The sequence below is a fragment of the Homo sapiens genome, chromosome 14, assembly GCF_000001405.40.
Source record: "Homo sapiens chromosome 14, GRCh38.p14 Primary Assembly".
Lineage (NCBI taxonomy): Eukaryota > Metazoa > Chordata > Mammalia > Primates > Hominidae > Homo > Homo sapiens.
This window is the reverse complement of record NC_000014.9, coordinates 88,187,814-88,204,020: the sequence shown is the minus strand read 5'-3', so window position 1 is coordinate 88,204,020 and position 16,207 is coordinate 88,187,814. Positions and strand designations below refer to the sequence as shown.

The 16,207-nt window shown below is 43.1% G+C and overlaps 1 protein-coding gene across 3 annotated transcripts in view, besides 4 other annotated features; it reads left to right on the top strand.

Moving 5' to 3' along the window:
- Window positions 1-16,207, top strand: part of KCNK10 (potassium two pore domain channel subfamily K member 10) — a 146,805-nt gene that overhangs the window by 122,892 nt on the left and 7,706 nt on the right. For all 3 annotated transcript variants that reach the window (NM_021161.5, NM_138317.3, NM_138318.3), the window contains exons 5-6: window positions 11,611-11,797; window positions 15,912-16,054. In NM_021161.5, coding sequence (NP_066984.1) covers window positions 11,611-11,797; window positions 15,912-16,054 — 330 coding nt within the window. The remainder of the gene's footprint in view (window positions 1-11,610; window positions 11,798-15,911; window positions 16,055-16,207) is intronic.
- Window positions 7,982-8,276: a silencer, noted in NCBI's record as "tiled region #1231; HepG2 Repressive non-DNase unmatched - State 21:Repr". NCBI's record gives its function as "represses a minimal TATA promoter and a strong SV40 promoter by Sharpr-MPRA in HepG2 cells {active_cell/tissue: HepG2}" and the evidence as "EXISTENCE:reporter gene assay evidence [ECO:0000049][PMID:27701403]".
- Window positions 13,536-13,705: an enhancer, noted in NCBI's record as "experimental_38654 CRE fragment used in MPRA reporter constructs". NCBI's record gives its function as "activates a minimal promoter by MPRAs in K562 erythroleukemia cells, with activity observed for the non-introgressed 14:88656745 variant allele {active_cell/tissue: K562}" and the evidence as "EXISTENCE:reporter gene assay evidence [ECO:0000049][PMID:34662402]".
- Window positions 14,426-14,505: a silencer, noted in NCBI's record as "silent region_5989". NCBI's record gives its function as "represses an Ori minimal core promoter by ATAC-STARR-seq in GM12878 lymphoblastoid cells {active_cell/tissue: GM12878}" and the evidence as "EXISTENCE:reporter gene assay evidence [ECO:0000049][PMID:35858748]".
- Window positions 14,606-14,745: an enhancer, noted in NCBI's record as "active region_8836". NCBI's record gives its function as "activates an Ori minimal core promoter by ATAC-STARR-seq in GM12878 lymphoblastoid cells {active_cell/tissue: GM12878}" and the evidence as "EXISTENCE:reporter gene assay evidence [ECO:0000049][PMID:35858748]".

Here is a 16,207-nt window from a genome sequence, read left to right as displayed (position 1 = left end):
CCACCACTAACACGTTGATAATCGTACTTCTGAATCTTTTCTCTGCATCTACATTTGGCCCCAATGCCTGGTGCTCCACTGGCCCCACAGTACCCCTCCCACCTGCTACCTACCCTGTCCAAGTTTCCCTGCCCTCGGGTACTGGCAGGGGTTGTCACCGTGTCCTGGCCACAGCCTGTGCCTTCCCTGTGTTACTCCATCAGCTCCTTCTGGATTGCTGACCTCTGCTCTAACCACTGATCGTTCATGACAATTTTGCTACCCACCTTCTGCAGGTGACAGATCCTTCTGCCTCAGAAGGGGGAGTGCTACTGTCCTGCTGTCCTAGAGCTGAGGGAGACGGACACCACTCTCCCCGGTAACACTAGATTCTCAGGAATAGATACAACACCTTCCAAACTGCAGCTGACACCAGCTGTACATTGTAACAAGACTTTTAAGATTTAGGAATGTCAGAGAGATATTACCCACAGCAGTTACATCACATCTGCTTACAGTCTGGCTGTTCTTGGAGCCCAGAATTCCAGGCCTGTTCCAGGGTGTCCAATTGAGCTGTGTCCTTGACCTGCCTCGAGGCAGCTGAAGCCAGCTTGCCCTGACCTCCAGGAGTAGCTGTTGCAGGCAGGCAGCTTAGCTCAAAATGAGAGAAACTATGGCTAATTTAAACAAAAATGAAAATAATTTTAAAAAGGATATTGGATAGCTACCAAATCCTTGGGATGGTTGGAAACCCAAACTGGGAAGGTACCTTGTTAAAAACAATGACCAAATCACACCATGGAACTGGTCCCGGAGGAAGCCACTGCTGTGTCTGCCCGGGCATATACAGGGCGGTGGCCCCTGGATGCTGCTGCAAGAACCATCCTTGTGACTGCTCCTGGAGTGGGGCATACCAACATTGGTACCACCATCCCTGGAATGGCTTCCACAGGGTCCCTGTTTCTTTATATAACATCCAAGATATGTCTGCTCCTGCCTGCCACCCCACCTCCCATGGAAGCTCCCCGCTGATGCTTTCACTTCCATCTTGATCAAGGGCAAGGTTTACCTTCCATGCCCACCCCACTCAGGGTTCCAGTCCCTCACCCTCTGTCGGAGGACCTAGGAGGATCCAGGACTCTTGAGAGCTGGGCTGTGCACAGGTGGTGAATCACCAGCAGAAAGCTCTGCATCTAGTCTCTTCCTCTTGGCCTCCAGACTGGACGTTTTGCTTCCCACCACCCACCCCCCGCAACCGGAAGACTCTAGGAAGATCTCGTCCCTCCCACTGTACTTTTGCTCCAGGCTGAGTGGCCATTCCGCCTTCTCTCTGTCTGTGTTCCTAACCCGGTCTTGCCTACTGTCTGGAAGAGGAGAAAGTGGTTCTGTAAGTCTGCCTCTGAGAATCTCCACACCTCTTTTCAGAATGGTCTGGGGAGTGGCGGGTGCCAGTGAGACGAAAGAGGAGGACGGAGGACAGAGGACTCTTAGATGACTACTTCAAGGTTTAACCCTGTTACATCTGCATGGGTGTGGTTCAAAGTCTGAATTATGTCTTTATGGCTGGGAAAGCCTGGGTCACATGCTTGTCTCCTCATAGCAGGAGAGGCTGGGAAAGTCAGTAGGTGGTACATTGCAGCTTCTGTACTGGGAGGAGGTCTCTGTCTTTCACCAAACTAAAGAAGGATGTTCAAATTATTGGTGGGCAAAAAGAATGACAAGGATCCTCTGACGTGGACATGCCCTGTGATCACATTAGCTCTGTTTGGTCACAGCATGATAGTGGAGTGGCTTGGGCGACCTATGGCAGTATCATTGATAATCATTTACCATACACCACAGGCTGAGCGTCACCAGGGTTGATCCAATTCCATTTTCTAATCTTTCTCCTAACATGGGGTGAACATCAGGAGGCCTGGAGATCTTCTTTTGTTGCTTTTAGATTCTCAGTTTCTGGTCCTCTGAGAAGAACTGTTCAAACTGTTCATGCATATCTCTACTAAACACTTTGCAGGAGCAATGGAATCTAGAACTGCATTTTAAAGAGAATACTCTTGTAAAGGAAATAGTATCTACAGAGATGCAACCCTACCAAAGGGTAGGGCACTGTTGACTACTTTATCTTATGGAGCATGTGTCCCTGGAGTCACAGCCTTGGGATGCCTACATCTGCTTTCATTTGCATAGCTAAACAGCCCAGTCTCTTCATGAAAGGTAATAGTCTACTTTATTCATTACATTTAGCTCCATGAAAGAGTTTGCATATAACTTAATTGTTTTAAGAGGAAAAAATGTACCAATTAAAAGCCAGGACATTTATTATGCATGTTCAGCAATCAAAATAGGCTTCAGTGTAGCCTTCTATTTTTTTTTTTCTTTTTTGAGACGTAGTCTCACTCTGTTGCCCAGGATGGAGTGCAGTTACATGATCTCGGCTCACTGCAAGCTCTGCCTCCCGGGTTCAAGCGATTCCCCTGCCTCAGCCTCCCAAGTAGCTGGGATTACAGGTACCTGCCACCACACCTGGCTGATTTTTGTGTTTTTAGTAGAGACAGGGTTTCACCATATTGGCCAGGCTGGTCTCGAACTCCTGACCTCAAGTGATCCACCTACCTCTCGGCCTCCCAAAGTGCTGGGATTACAGGCGTGAGCCACTGTGCCTGGCCCAGTGTAGTCCTTCTAAGCAAATCCATTCTAATCAAATGAAGGAACAGTGCTCCTCTTTAATAATCATAAATAAGTGATAGATGAATAAGGAAATGAATCATGTATGCATTTATTTGTCCACAACACACAATTGGAGCTGGCATTTCCTGGAGGCATTTGTATAAAACTTAGATGAGATCACGTCCCCTAGGATGTCAAGGTACTTGCCCTGATTCTGCCATGAGGCCTCCAATGGAAACTTTGTCAGGAGTAGAAAACAGCCAATGTATGTGAAGTCCAAGTTCATTGGCACCTCCCTAGCCTCCTTGCAGGGTTGTTTCTCTCCATCACTAATCCCCTGTTTTGGATCATTTGCAACAACTCCCTTTACTACGAAGAGGGAATCTTGAGGTATGAGCAGTAAATATGGAGACTGTGGTAGGCAAACAGTTCCACAGTGTCATGAGGTCCCTTTTACACTCTCTCACTCTGTGGATTCTTTCCCCTTCACAACACGTCTGATTTATCACAAGCTGTGATTAATTATTTCCTTGCATGACTGTTTAATGCTTGTCTCAACTCCTACTAGCTCTGTGAGACTGGGGGCCATTTTGTTTTACTCACCGGTGAAGTTAGCTCAATATCTGACAGAGAGTAGGTACATGATAAATACTCATTGAAAAAAGGAATAGAAAAGTTATAGAGTTCAGCTATATTCATAGCTTGAAAAATATGCTAAAGGAATTTTCTCATTTGTAGGTGTTCCTGTCCAGTTCCCTTAGTGCAGGCCTTCCCAGTGTAGGGTTTATTTCTGCATGACTTTCTATAAAGCTGTATTTCCTTCTTATCTAACTTCTCGTTCCTAGTCTAACTAGAAAGTTCATGCATATCCCTTTCTCCCTTCTCTCCATTTTCTTTTTATCTCTGAAACAATTAGGTACACACGTAGCTGGGAAGCCTTCTTGTATGCCTCCAGAAAAATTCTAGATCCCTCAAACTATTGTTCTATCTCTTCTTTCTGTACCCCAATTTTTTTCTCAATTATGCTCTTAAATTATCCTTCTGAAAGATTTTCTAATTTTGTTTGCTTCTTGTTGCCTTTTTCTCTTCTAGTTCACACACCTTTCTCTGTAAGATTTCTTAATGCTTATTTTATTATTATTTATAGTTTTATGTGGACAAGCATCCCTAGATGCTTACATTAAAAGTATTTGTCTAAAAAAAGAAGGAAGGAAGGAAGGAAAGAAGAAAGGAAGGAAAGAAAGAAAGAGAGATAAATATGGAAAGAAAGAGAAAAAAAGGAAGAAAGGAAGAAAGAAAGGAAGAAGAAAGAAAGAAAAGAAGAAGAAAGAAAGAGAGAAAGAAAGAAGGAAAGAAGAGAAAGAAGGAAAGAAGAGAAAGAAAGAAAAAGAAAGAAAGAAAGAGAAAGAAAGAAAGAAACTGTCTATTGGGAAGGGCGTTGTTTACTGCTTATCCAGCAATACCCAGGTATTTGTATAGGTGTTGACCTAAATCTATCTGACCTTGAAGGCTGTCTTCAAATCTTCTAACAGGCAAGATAAATAAGGTCACAGAAAATGCATACCTGTTTGTCATTTACCTTTATTCCTGGGCCTATAGATAGTTCTTCTGTCTAGTAGCCTCTGGGCTACTCATGGGAGTGGGGATAGGGATCATATGACAACTTTCTTCTCTTTTACGTGTTCTGGGTACTCTTGGATACTGGTTCCAGGGAACAGCTGCATAGCTAAGAGATGGGTGGGAAGGACAAGAAAGAGTAAAGTGTTCCTAGAGGAGCCAGCGAGGCAAGGGGTGTTTTACTGACCTAGTCTGTTTTATGGCTACATGAGAACCCTAACACTGCTCTCCCCTTGCCCTGGCTGCTTTTCCAGGTTCTTGTCCTTCCCAGACAGCTCTAGCCAGGGCTCAGGGTTCCTTAATGGCTGTCCCAATCCACTCTTCTTTTAGCAGAGCACCCTTAGCAAGAAACCCACTGTAATCTCACCCTACTTTTCTGCTTTTACAACATGTCTTCCTTCCGGGTGAACATTCACAAGCTAAAGAAGGGAACTCACCTTCCCTTGAGGAGAGCTTGCTGAACACCAGAGGATTTCACCTCTTTCCCCCTTCATAATGGAATAATCACTGAGCTTTCTGCTAGAATAAAAAAATCATGGGCCGGGCACGGTGGCTCACGCCTGTAATCCCAGCACTTTGGCAGACCGAGGCGGGTGGATCACTTGAGGTCAGGAGTTCAAGACCAGCATGGCCAACATGGCGAAACCCCATCTCTACTAAAAATACAATCATTAGCTGGGCGTGGCGGTGCGCTCCTGTAATCTCAGCTACTCGGGAGGCTGAGGCAGGAGAATCGCTTGAACCTGGGAGGCGGAAGTTGCAGTGAGCTGAGTTTGCGCCACTGCACTCCAGCCTGGGCGACAAAGTGAGACTCTGCCTCAAAAAAATAAAATAAAATAAAATAAAATAAAATAAAATAAAATAAGACAAAGGAGATGATAAATTAAAGCCTAACATTACTATATTCCCTTTATACTGAAGAATATGGTTTATATCTGTGGAAAGATGAGTTTCCTAATACAACCTCAGAATTAGATAGGAGATCACAAGGGGTAACTCCCAAAAGGAAGGGGAGAGGAAGGGGCTGGGTTAACAGTTCCTGGGTCAGAATAAGAGTTGAGTGGCCATGTGTATTGCAGCAGGTGGAGCTCCCTATACAAGGAAAGCACTGGGGCGGAAAATGAGCATTTATCCTATTAGAATGGTCTTGTGCCTTCACTCCTGTGCACTGCTTAGCCAGGGAACTGTGCCCTTACACCTTGTTAGCCAGTGGAAGAAGAGTGAGTCTACCTTTTAGCTGTCTGTAGCATTGTTACTGTAGTATTATTGTATGCTTCTGTTTATGATGGTGGAGAGGCCATTTGAGATGGAGGCATTGTTCATCATGCTGCTGAAATTTGAGTAGGATAAATTTAGAATTTGGATAGGTGAGCAGCTGGGAGGGGCATCTTTTGGGATTGTCAGGAGTTACTCAGTTGATGTGGCTCATCAGCAGGTGTCCCATTCTCCTTACCTTTCCATGGGCTTTCTTTCATGCTTCAACCAAAGAGAAGGACCCTTCTTCAGTTAAGGATTTGTCTGGATGTTTTCTACATGTGGTGTGATCGCTTATGAGTTTTCCTGCCTCTGAGACCTACCTTCTGAATGCCTGACTGACAAAGATTTAAAGGTCGTCCATTACAGTTGGCATGCTTTTATATTCCACATGCCAGAGCTACAAGAATGTTATTATTTCCTTTCTTCTCTCCCAGGTGATATATTTGGTCACCTAGGTGTCATTAGGTACTAAGCTTTGCCTTCAATATCTACCAGGGTGGGGCACCATGGACAGTGCCACAAAGACCTTTTCAGACAAAGGCTCAGATCTTCCTGCTGGACTTTGTGTGCAAGAGGAAGGAACTTTTTCTTTTCTTTTTTCCCCTTCTCTCTCTCTCTCTCTCTCTCTCTCTCTCTCTCTCCCTTCCCTCCTTCCTTCCTTCTGTTTCTTCCTTCCTTCCCTCCCTCCTTCCCTCGAACTGCCATGTCCCTTGCAACTAGAATGGTCCCTGACATTTAAGGTTTTAAATAATTATGTGCAGAATGAATTAAATGCCAAATCTTGTGTTCCAATAGCGTATTATCTTCAAATGTTAACAGCAACCAGTTTTTTAGAATAGAAAACTTTTGAAAATTTTAATTAAAGTCTTCCTGCAGTGGAACAGTTGATTTTTTTTTTTTTTTTTTTTTTTTTTTTTTTTTTTTTTTTAGTCGGAGTCTCTCTCTGTTGCCCAGGCTGGAGTGCAGTGGTGCAATCTTGGCTCGCTGCAACCTCTGCCTCCCGGGTTCAAGTGATTCTCCCTGCCTCAGTCTCCTAAGTAGCTGGGATTACAGACATCTGCCACCATGCCCAGCTAATTTTTGTATTTTTTAGTAGAGTTGGGGTTTCCCCATGTTGGCCAGGCAGGTCTTGAACTCCTGACCTCAGCCTCCTGAAGAGCTGGGATTACAGGTGTGAGCCAGCATGCCTGGCCTGAGTTTTTATTATTTGTGAATTTTATTTTTTTCCATCCCAGATGCACCTATATTGGTAGTCTAGTGATAAAAACAATTTACCCATATATACCAACATCTTTTTCAAGAACTTTGCATAGTGAAACCAGCAAAGTACTGAACTGGCCAGTCTGTCATAGGTGTCTTGCAACATGACTCAGAGTCAGAAGCTGGATATAAACTTTTTTCTGTGTGTGTATATATGATCCATTTGTGTATTCGGCTTTTGAGTGGGACTTTTTCAGTAGGCTTCTTGAAGGTTCCACTTCACTATTCTCACTGATGTGTGCTTACAGCATCTCTGCCATGGAGATTTTAGGCAGAGAGTGTTTAAAAGCTCTACTCATAGTTTATAGAATTGCTAGTGCCACAAGGCCATTCATTGTGATGATGAAATTATTAGTTATAAGTGAACCTTCTAAAATAAATCTTGGAAGAAAACATGTTATAAGAAAATGAAGTCAGTCCTCTTACTAGGCAGTTCCCATCATCTTTCCATTTTGAGAAATTATCCTCAGTTCAGATGTATTACTATGGTGATGTGTTTGCATTTCAACAAACCAAACCAAGCCGTAAACTGAGCTCTGCATGTTTAGCTTCTGTCTTAGGATTTTTACCGCAGTGTCTTTATTCTTGAGTAAAATCCCCGACATCCTGGCTAGAAATCACAATGAATAAATAATTTCCCAGCCAGACAAAACAATCTGAATTGCTAATCTCAGAATTCTAAGAAATTACATAAAGATGCAAACAATGGGGATTAAAGAGGGGGTAAAAATTAAATGAAAAAATAGCCCACAAATGAATGGAAATATACATGCTCTCCAAAATAACATTGTGGAAGTAAACAAAAACAGACAGAGAATTATGCTTAATGAGAATTGGACATGTGGCTTAGCCCTCTGAGGCCTGAAACAAGTAAACACTTCCCGAATTGTCAGTCCATACATCCCTCTCTCAAAAGAGAGCTCTTAGAACTGGCTCCCTCTCCTCCTGTTTACGAAGCTTACTTGGTCTTTGGAACAATTGCACATATAATTTTAACAACTAAATGAACTCTACAGGAGATGGGTTTTGAGTACTTAAAAAATTCCTATAGTTTGTATCAATCAGATACGGGAGATAGTTTTGCAAAATACTGTTTGTGTAAAGAGAAGGGAAGAACATGCGCTCTAGTCTAACCAATCAACAAAGTGTGAAAACACGATTTAGACAGAAGTACAACGACCATCCTATCAGTTCTACCCAAATATCATATCAGACCATCTCTTCCCTGATAACAGTTTTGTTAGCCTAAGGACACATTAGCTCAGTTAGATCTGGGCTCTCACAGAGCTTTCTGCTAGCGGCTCTGCTTACTGGTAAGTAAGCCATGCAATTTTGCCTAGCAACCCCACCGTGGAAACACAGCTCCATTCTGTAAGTGGCAGGGGGATGTGGCAGGGAGGCAGGGAGAGTGAGGTTTGTGCCTCTCAGAATCCCTCTGCAGCTGGTTCCTGACATCGCAAACGTTATCTGCAATTCTTGGCAGTTTCGGAAGGATGATGAAAAATGGGACGGGGAGGTGGCTGAGCCTGGGGTTTTGGAAGTAGGATGGAATTAATTGGAAGGCAAATAAAAAAGCTTCCAAGATTGTGAGCTGCGACTGTCTGAGAGCTCAAACCAGAGTTGGCAAGAGGAACCAAAGGAGAATGAGGACATTTTTTGTCATTGACAATGAGGTATACAATATATCCAGGAAAGGACAACCAGCAGCGACCTCCTGAAGCTAAACAGAGATTATCTTAAGCCACATATGAGGGAACATTCCTCAATGGCAAAGAGAAGCATTAAATCTGGGACTGTCTACGTCTAAGGAAAAATTTGAGCATTTACATTAAAATGGCCTGTTAACAAGCATTGAATATTAACCAGGCACTGTGCTAAGTGTTTGCACACTTGTTTAATCTTCCAAACAATCCGATGAGGTGGGATTTCTTATCTCCATTTTATAGAGGAAAAAAACTAATGCACAGAGAGGTTGAGAAACTTGCCTAAGGTCACTCAGCTATTTAGCAGTGGGGTTGGGATGTGTCTCAGGCAGTCTTTCCCTAGACTCTGTGCTCTTAAACACTACTATGGTTTTTCAGCAGCAGTGAACAGTTACAGGGCTAATGGGGATAAGAAAACTGAAGATCACCACACGGCACATGAGATGGTTTGTGATTCCATTGTGAAAGCTGCAGTTTAAAATGTTCAATTAAGGCAACTTTTTTTTTTTTTAAATACCTAGAGGGCAGCAAAAACATGGGTATCTAGAATAACAGATATTGCTAAAACCTTACGCCCACAGCACTTCTTTTTATAGCAAAGTATGGGTATACACATATTTTCATACACCTACACACACATACACATGCAAGACGCGCATTTCTTAAGTCCCTAAAATACCCTGATAATTAAATGCTCCAAACATTCTCTGAGTGTGACCCTTGGATGTCTAGGAGAAGCAGCCCAGGAACACACTTGTTAGCCGGGGCAATGAGTAGTGGTGAAATGTTTACCTTGCTGATAAAGTCTCCAGTAGATGATGCAATTAAGATGCCACGATCTAGCCTTTGTTATACACCTCCTTGTCTGCCGTCAAACAAATCCACCGCTGTCCTTCCCCATCTTCCCTCCTGCCCATCTCCTGAAGTCCAGGAACGTCTCCAGCTTCCTACGTACTTGCAGTCCTCTTTTGCCAACCTCAACCTCATTTAGATTGCAATTACATTCACATCTTAATTTATGACTTAACAAGCATCTCACAAACATTTAATTCACTTTAACTTCACTATGCATTTGAGGAGGAATATTTGAGGAGGAATGGTACTCCCATTGCCAGCAATTAGATTGACTTAATGATCTATGGCGAAATCTCCTTTTGGGCTTTGAACTTTTCATACATTTCTGCAAACAAAACTAGGCTAATTAAAGTAAGTTCCTGGATTCTCAGAGGGGCTTACCTGCCTTCACAAAATCCTCCTGTAATATCCAACATGGAAATTTATGAAATAGACAAAACTTTCCCTGCAGTTTTCAGGTAATTTATCTTGTTACGACACTTTCATGTGTGGAAAAGTCGATATTTTCATATATAGTTTCAACAATATCAATAAATTGTAATTTTTTTTTCAGATGGCTTCTCTGAGGAGATTAGGAGGGTTTCTATATCAAAGCATAGATCAAATTATTTTTCCCTGTTCCCATTTTATATACCAGATGCCTTCTTAGGAGTTAGAAAAGTACCTCCTTTTTACAAGGAAGGATGGCATTTCTTTAGCTTTTCCTGGACAGATCACCCGGTGACCATTTTTTATTCTCAGTCTTCCTTCACAGAAGGGACAGAGGACTGCCCATTTTCAGCAGGAGTTAGTCTGATTTCTTCTGTTAGATGCAGACGACTTTGTTTGACAACTTTCTTTGGGTTGGTGAATTGTTGAATTACTTGAAAAGCTGTTTCCGTTGTTAAGCACTGGACTGAGAATTAATTACATCAGAATTCTAATCTCGGCTCATTAGTGGCATCATTTTATGCAAGTCCCTTAACCCCTCTTGGCTTCAGTTTTGCATGTGTAAAATGAAGTATATAAAGCAAAGGTCTCTCTGTGCTTGGTGCGATGAAGAGGATGCAGGTCTCATGGTACGGATTTCCTATATTGATTGCCCCAAATGTGGTGTACGTTTGCAGAAAATTCATCTAGGCAATGTAGAAAGGCCATACATTCTGGTGTTAAACACATCGTTCATATATTTATGCTAGTATATGATACCAGGGCCTCCTGATGACAGTCTCCAGCACCAATTCTGAGAATTGCGAGGATTTTTCAGCTTAGAGTTTTTCAGCTTAGAGTCAATTCCAGTGTCGCCTTCAGCACATCCAAAGAGAATATGACCGATGCTACCAGTCCTGCTCCTGGACTCCACTGGTATGATTCCTTTGCCCCAGTATCAGTCTAATTCCCATTCTAGATGCTTTTTTCTTAATGACCCAACAACTGACTCCTTCAGGAGCTGGCATGAGATGAGATTTGTTTGCAGAGATGTATAAAAATTTCAAAGCCCCAAAGGAGATTTCACCACAGATCATTAAGTCCATCTAATTGTCGTCCTACTACCCATTTAGACGGGGACCCTGTTATGCTAACTCCTATCCTGTCTCTTGTGAGTGATACAGTCAACACACATGATGATCACAGCACCAGCTCAGACAGGTGTGTTTTAAAACAAAAGTGTGTTATAAATGTACAGCCTCAGCAGGGAAAATGTGGGGGCGAAGAAACACACAAATACTTGGCTAGAGTCGGTCACAGGTGAAGATGGGGATGACTGTGTTTTCCGTTTCATCCAAACATTTTGGCCTGACTCAGATAATTTTTTTTCCAGCATATTCTGTTTGACACAAGGGAAACGGTGCAAATCCATCACCACCATTGTGGAAAGAGCTCCAAACTCATTCTCACGAATGGTGGATCAGTAATACTACATGACAAATGGTAGCATTTTTGGGAAACCATTATATTTGCACCAGTGAGAAGTCAGAATCAGCATTTGGGCTGCAGTCATGGAACCATGCAAGAAACATTCAAAGCATTGGCTAAGCAGGATTTTTTTGTTTGTTTGACCTGGTGTCCACGAACAGGCTTCAGGGAGCCTGAGAACCTCCTAGACCACTTGAAAAATTCTGAATGCACTTTTCTAGGAAAGAGTTCACAGCGTTCATCAAATTTCCTCCAAGCAGCCAATGACCAGAGAAAGGTTAAAAGTCACTGACACAGTACCGTTTTCTGTGCATCTATATCCTGAATCCAGGGTGATGCCGCTGACTTGCCTATCTTTCTCCTTTGCTCTTCCTAGAAAAAGCAAGTGAGTCAGACCAAGATCCGGGTCATCTCAACCATCCTGTTCATCTTGGCCGGCTGCATTGTGTTTGTGACGATCCCTGCTGTCATCTTTAAGTACATCGAGGGCTGGACGGCCTTGGAGTCCATTTACTTTGTGGTGGTCACTCTGACCACGGTGGGCTTTGGTGATTTTGTGGCAGGTAAGCACCCTGGGCAGGCCAGGCACTGGGGCTCTGGCGGGAAAAATAATCTGTTGGCTGTGCTTTTCGCAATCGATAAAAGATGTTGCGGGAGAAGCAAATGAAGATGACTCAGTGTCACTACTGCTGTGAAGAGGCTCATTTCAAATCCCTAGTCCTATGTAATATAAATACCATAGGTTTTTTTCTGCTATGAAAAGAAAGCCAACCCTTTCCTTCTCAGGATGCTTATTTCCCTTATCGTCACACAAATTATGCAAGACTAAAGTGAATTTCTCATTAAATCTTGAACTTCTGAATTGAATTAAACCTCTCTAATCCAATGATAAAGGCTGTGTTAGGAAGTGGCACATAGGAAACTCAGATGAGATTAGCATAGAATTTGGTCTGCAGTGACCTGCAGGTTCAGCTTCCTGACTCCCAGGTGAGAGCCATTGTCTCTGCAAACGTTGTCCTGCACATGCCCAGATACAAAGCTGAGGACTTTGGTGACTATGGGGAGCTGAGAACTGCCCAGAGGGAATATAAGCTCATGGATTATGCAGGAGTGTATATACAAGCAATAGCCTTCCTTGTAAAAATAAATGTGGATGAGCTATGTTTAAGGAAGTGAAAAAAAAATCATCAATTTCATCTAGGGCCAGGGAAATTGCAAATGAAATGAGATTTAGTTTCATATGTGCACCAGTTTCCCAAAAGTGTGGTAGAAAGGTACGGATAGAAGGAAGAGGCCATCCTTCTCTTTTTCTAATAGGATAGTTCTAGATGTTCAGACAAGTGATCAGTTTCTACTACAAGAAGTGAACACTTTGATCAAACAACTCTATCATCTGTCACAAGTTTGAAATGTCTGGATGGAGTGTGTGTGTGTGTGTGTGTGTGTTTCCTTTACCAGTTCCTGGTGAAGTGGCAGCCTGACCTGAGCCCTAAGCAGACTGTTTTTTTTTGTTTTTGTTTTTGTTTTTGTTTTTTTTGAACAGGGTCTCCCTCTGTTGCCCAGGCTGGAGTGCAGTGGTGTGATCATGGCTCACTGCAGCCTCGGACCTCTGGGGCTCAAGTGATCATCCCACCTCAGCCTCCTGAGTAGCTGGGACTACAGACGTGTGCCACCATGCCTGGCTATTTTTTATTTTCATTTTTTGTATTTTTCGTAGAGATGGGATTTAGCCATGTTGCCCAAGCTGGTCTTGATCTGTTGGGCTCATGTGATCGGCCTGCCAAAGTGCTGGGATTACAGGTGTGAGCCACTGCACCTGGCCAGACTGTTCTTGTTTGGCGTGTGATCCCAGCAGTGTCTTGATTTCTCCATGGAATACTGTGCACATCAGGAGGATGGGTTCTGGTCTCTGGGAGTCTGGCAAACAGGAAATTCTGGAAGAGATTGCTGAAGGCTCATCAATAGGGGCATGCGTGCCTCCCTGTTAATTTTATAATACAAATAACTGGCAGAGTGGTTTTGTAGCTCTTCCAATTGGGCAGACAAAGACTGAATTCCACTTTGTAGAAATAATAGGGTTTTTTTTCCCCTTCCTTTTTATTGGTTAAGGACTAAGAATTGCAAAGTGACTAAATTTAGTTTTTTTTAGCTTTTAACTAAAAATTGATTTTTAGTCAGTGTGACTAAAAATCATTTACAGAAAGCCTGTAGCCTGGGACTCTACCCATTTTCCCCTTACGCACAGTGCTCAACCATGGATGTCTAGTTAGTGGCCTCAAGCTCCGAAGAGAGACTGTACAGAGAAACTGAGAAAAGTAAGAGGAACAGTTATAGATGTATTCCAGTTAATCCCTTGGCATCATCCGTAGCCGGTCCGTGGGAAAACTCAGTGGTGTTTCCAATCTAAGGCAAACACATGTAGTGGCAGCTGGAATTTTGAACTATTTCACAAACATCTTTAAGTATCCAAAGCATAACCTGCAGTGGGTGGTGATTTAGAGCTCTCTGGGATAGCACTGGGCTGTCCTGAGGACTGTCTATTATAAGATACCTGTGACAGACACAGATCTCTAACCAATGGCTCAGTTCAGTCTGTTAATCTGAGGCACAAATAGCAGAGGCCTGGGAGTGAGATTTTTTAAGTGATGCTTTTATTATTTGTTATCTACCATGGACTGAGCACTTAGTACAAACTAGTACTTTACCTTATCTTTACTTACCTAGTAAGGGCACAACCTACACAGTCCCAGGCATCCACAGTTTTACTGCCCTTGTCAGTGATTACAGAGCCATATTTCCTTTGTCCTGAGGTTTCTGTAGACCACGGTCTCTTAAAAGTCACAGTGCTGACTGCAGTTAGGCCAGACCCCTTCCAAGCTCCAGTTTTCCGAGCTTACACAGACCAATCTGGAGAATGCATGCCTGAAAAGACTGGAAGTTTATCTCTATCTTTTGGTAACAGTCTGCGAGTGATAGGGAAGGTTGCCCAATCATTGGAAAACGATACATTAACAAGAGTTGATGGTTGCTGTGATTCGACATAGTATGAACTCTACTAGAAATGTAATCAGATCATTGATCCTGCAGGATTGATTGCTGATTTATTTTGCAGCTGACTCACTTTAGGACAGCCTTACAATATTTCGCAACTCTGTCTGGGAGCACACACAGAACTCCGAATCCAGATAAGCAGCTCATAAAGGGATACTTAGAAGGGTGTTGACTGCCTGCTTCATTGTTCCTTGTTCACTAGCGCACCCTAGTGACCATCTTTGCTGGGTAATAGTGACTTGCAAAGGTAAATATTTACTCCCAGATAGCCCACAGGAGAAAGCTACAGATTTCTCTGGCGTAGCACAGAAACGAAATGAACCTCAAAAACCACTTACTGGTGCGGGAACTCAGATCGTATCCTACAGCTCTAATGATGCAGGAGAGAGTTGTCTGAAAGGAAAAACCAAAAGCAGCTGCACCAAACCGAAGGGGGCTTGGCACAGAGAAGTTGGAATTCTAACGTTAAGAAGTGGCAGCAGCTGTCGAGCCTCATGGTCTGCTGCGCTGTGTTGCTGATTGGGTTTGAGCTTGTCGAGAGGAGCCACAGGTCACATTTCTTGCCCAGCTGCCTTTGCCGTAAGACTCAGTGGCGCTAGATGTGGTTACAACCTTGGTCTGGTGGGAAAGTCTGTAATCACTCATCACCTAATACGATAGTTACCAATCCATTGCTAGTATCTGTCATCTTAGAAATGGCCACTGCCTGCTTCCTTAGGCAATAGCGTTTCCCAGAGAGAGATTGAGGCTGATGTCCGTTATTTCCAGGAGCTTCCTCACTTCTTTAGGACGGTGGGTTGGGCTTGCAACCTGTTTTGCATGGCTGCCTCCAGCAGTGTCTGTAGGAAGGTTAGAATAAATAGGCTAATTATTCAGAATAAATGACTGGTCCTTTCAATGGAACAGCCAGTCAATGCAATCAGGCAACTGGCCAATTTGGTTTGATGGATTTTTACTGTAATCCTTATTTATAAAATAAAGGGATTGGCCTCAAAGGTCCCTTTTAGTTCTAGTTTATGGTGACTCTAATTACTCAGCCTAACTGACCCTTTGGAGTAGCACTATGTAAACACCATTCCTCAGTTAGCATTAAATCACTATTGCTTGCATCAAAATCCCAGTAATGCCATTAAAGCTAATTTTACTTTCACACATCCACTTGTCTCTTAGTAAATGTATGGGTGCTTAAGATGGAAATGGTTCCAAGAATTCCAAACCATAGGGGGTGATATGATTATATTTGATTTTTATTAAAATAAATTTAGAGAAGTTTAAGAAAAAACAATGACAACCAGGCCTGATCTGTTGTCCTGTAGTTCAGAGTTATTCATCCTTAACGCTCAGGTCAAGCATTAGTAGGTCAAGTTGGCCACTGGCGTTTTTTATTTCTGGTATTAAGGTTAGTGGTCAAGAATCGAGGGAAGTAAAGCCTTAAGTTAGGCTTTTTTGGGTAAGGGATGGGTACCCCCCTTGCCCTCTAACCCCGGTCCACCTTGTACACAGCAAACCTAACAGCTGAGTGTTAAACAATGATGGATGACGTCTTCACTACATGGAATGGAATATGTGTTCTCTGCAAAGACCATATGCTAGATCATGGTTAAAGTAACATTTGGTTGTTTTCAGGGGGAAACGCTGGCATCAATTATCGGGAGTGGTATAAGCCCCTAGTGTGGTTTTGGATCCTTGTTGGCCTTGCCTACTTTGCAGCTGTCCTCAGTATGATCGGAGATTGGCTACGGGTTCTGTCCAAAAAGACAAAAGAAGAGGTAGGACCCCTTCCTAACCCTATGAATGTTCCTGAGAACAGATGAGCTTGTGTCCAGAATTGCCTGTCTCTGTCCTGTGGGCTGGAGTGTTTCTGGCTCGGTTTTGCAGGGGGAGCGGGGGGCGGGTCATAGGCTTCCTCATGTTGAATCAGT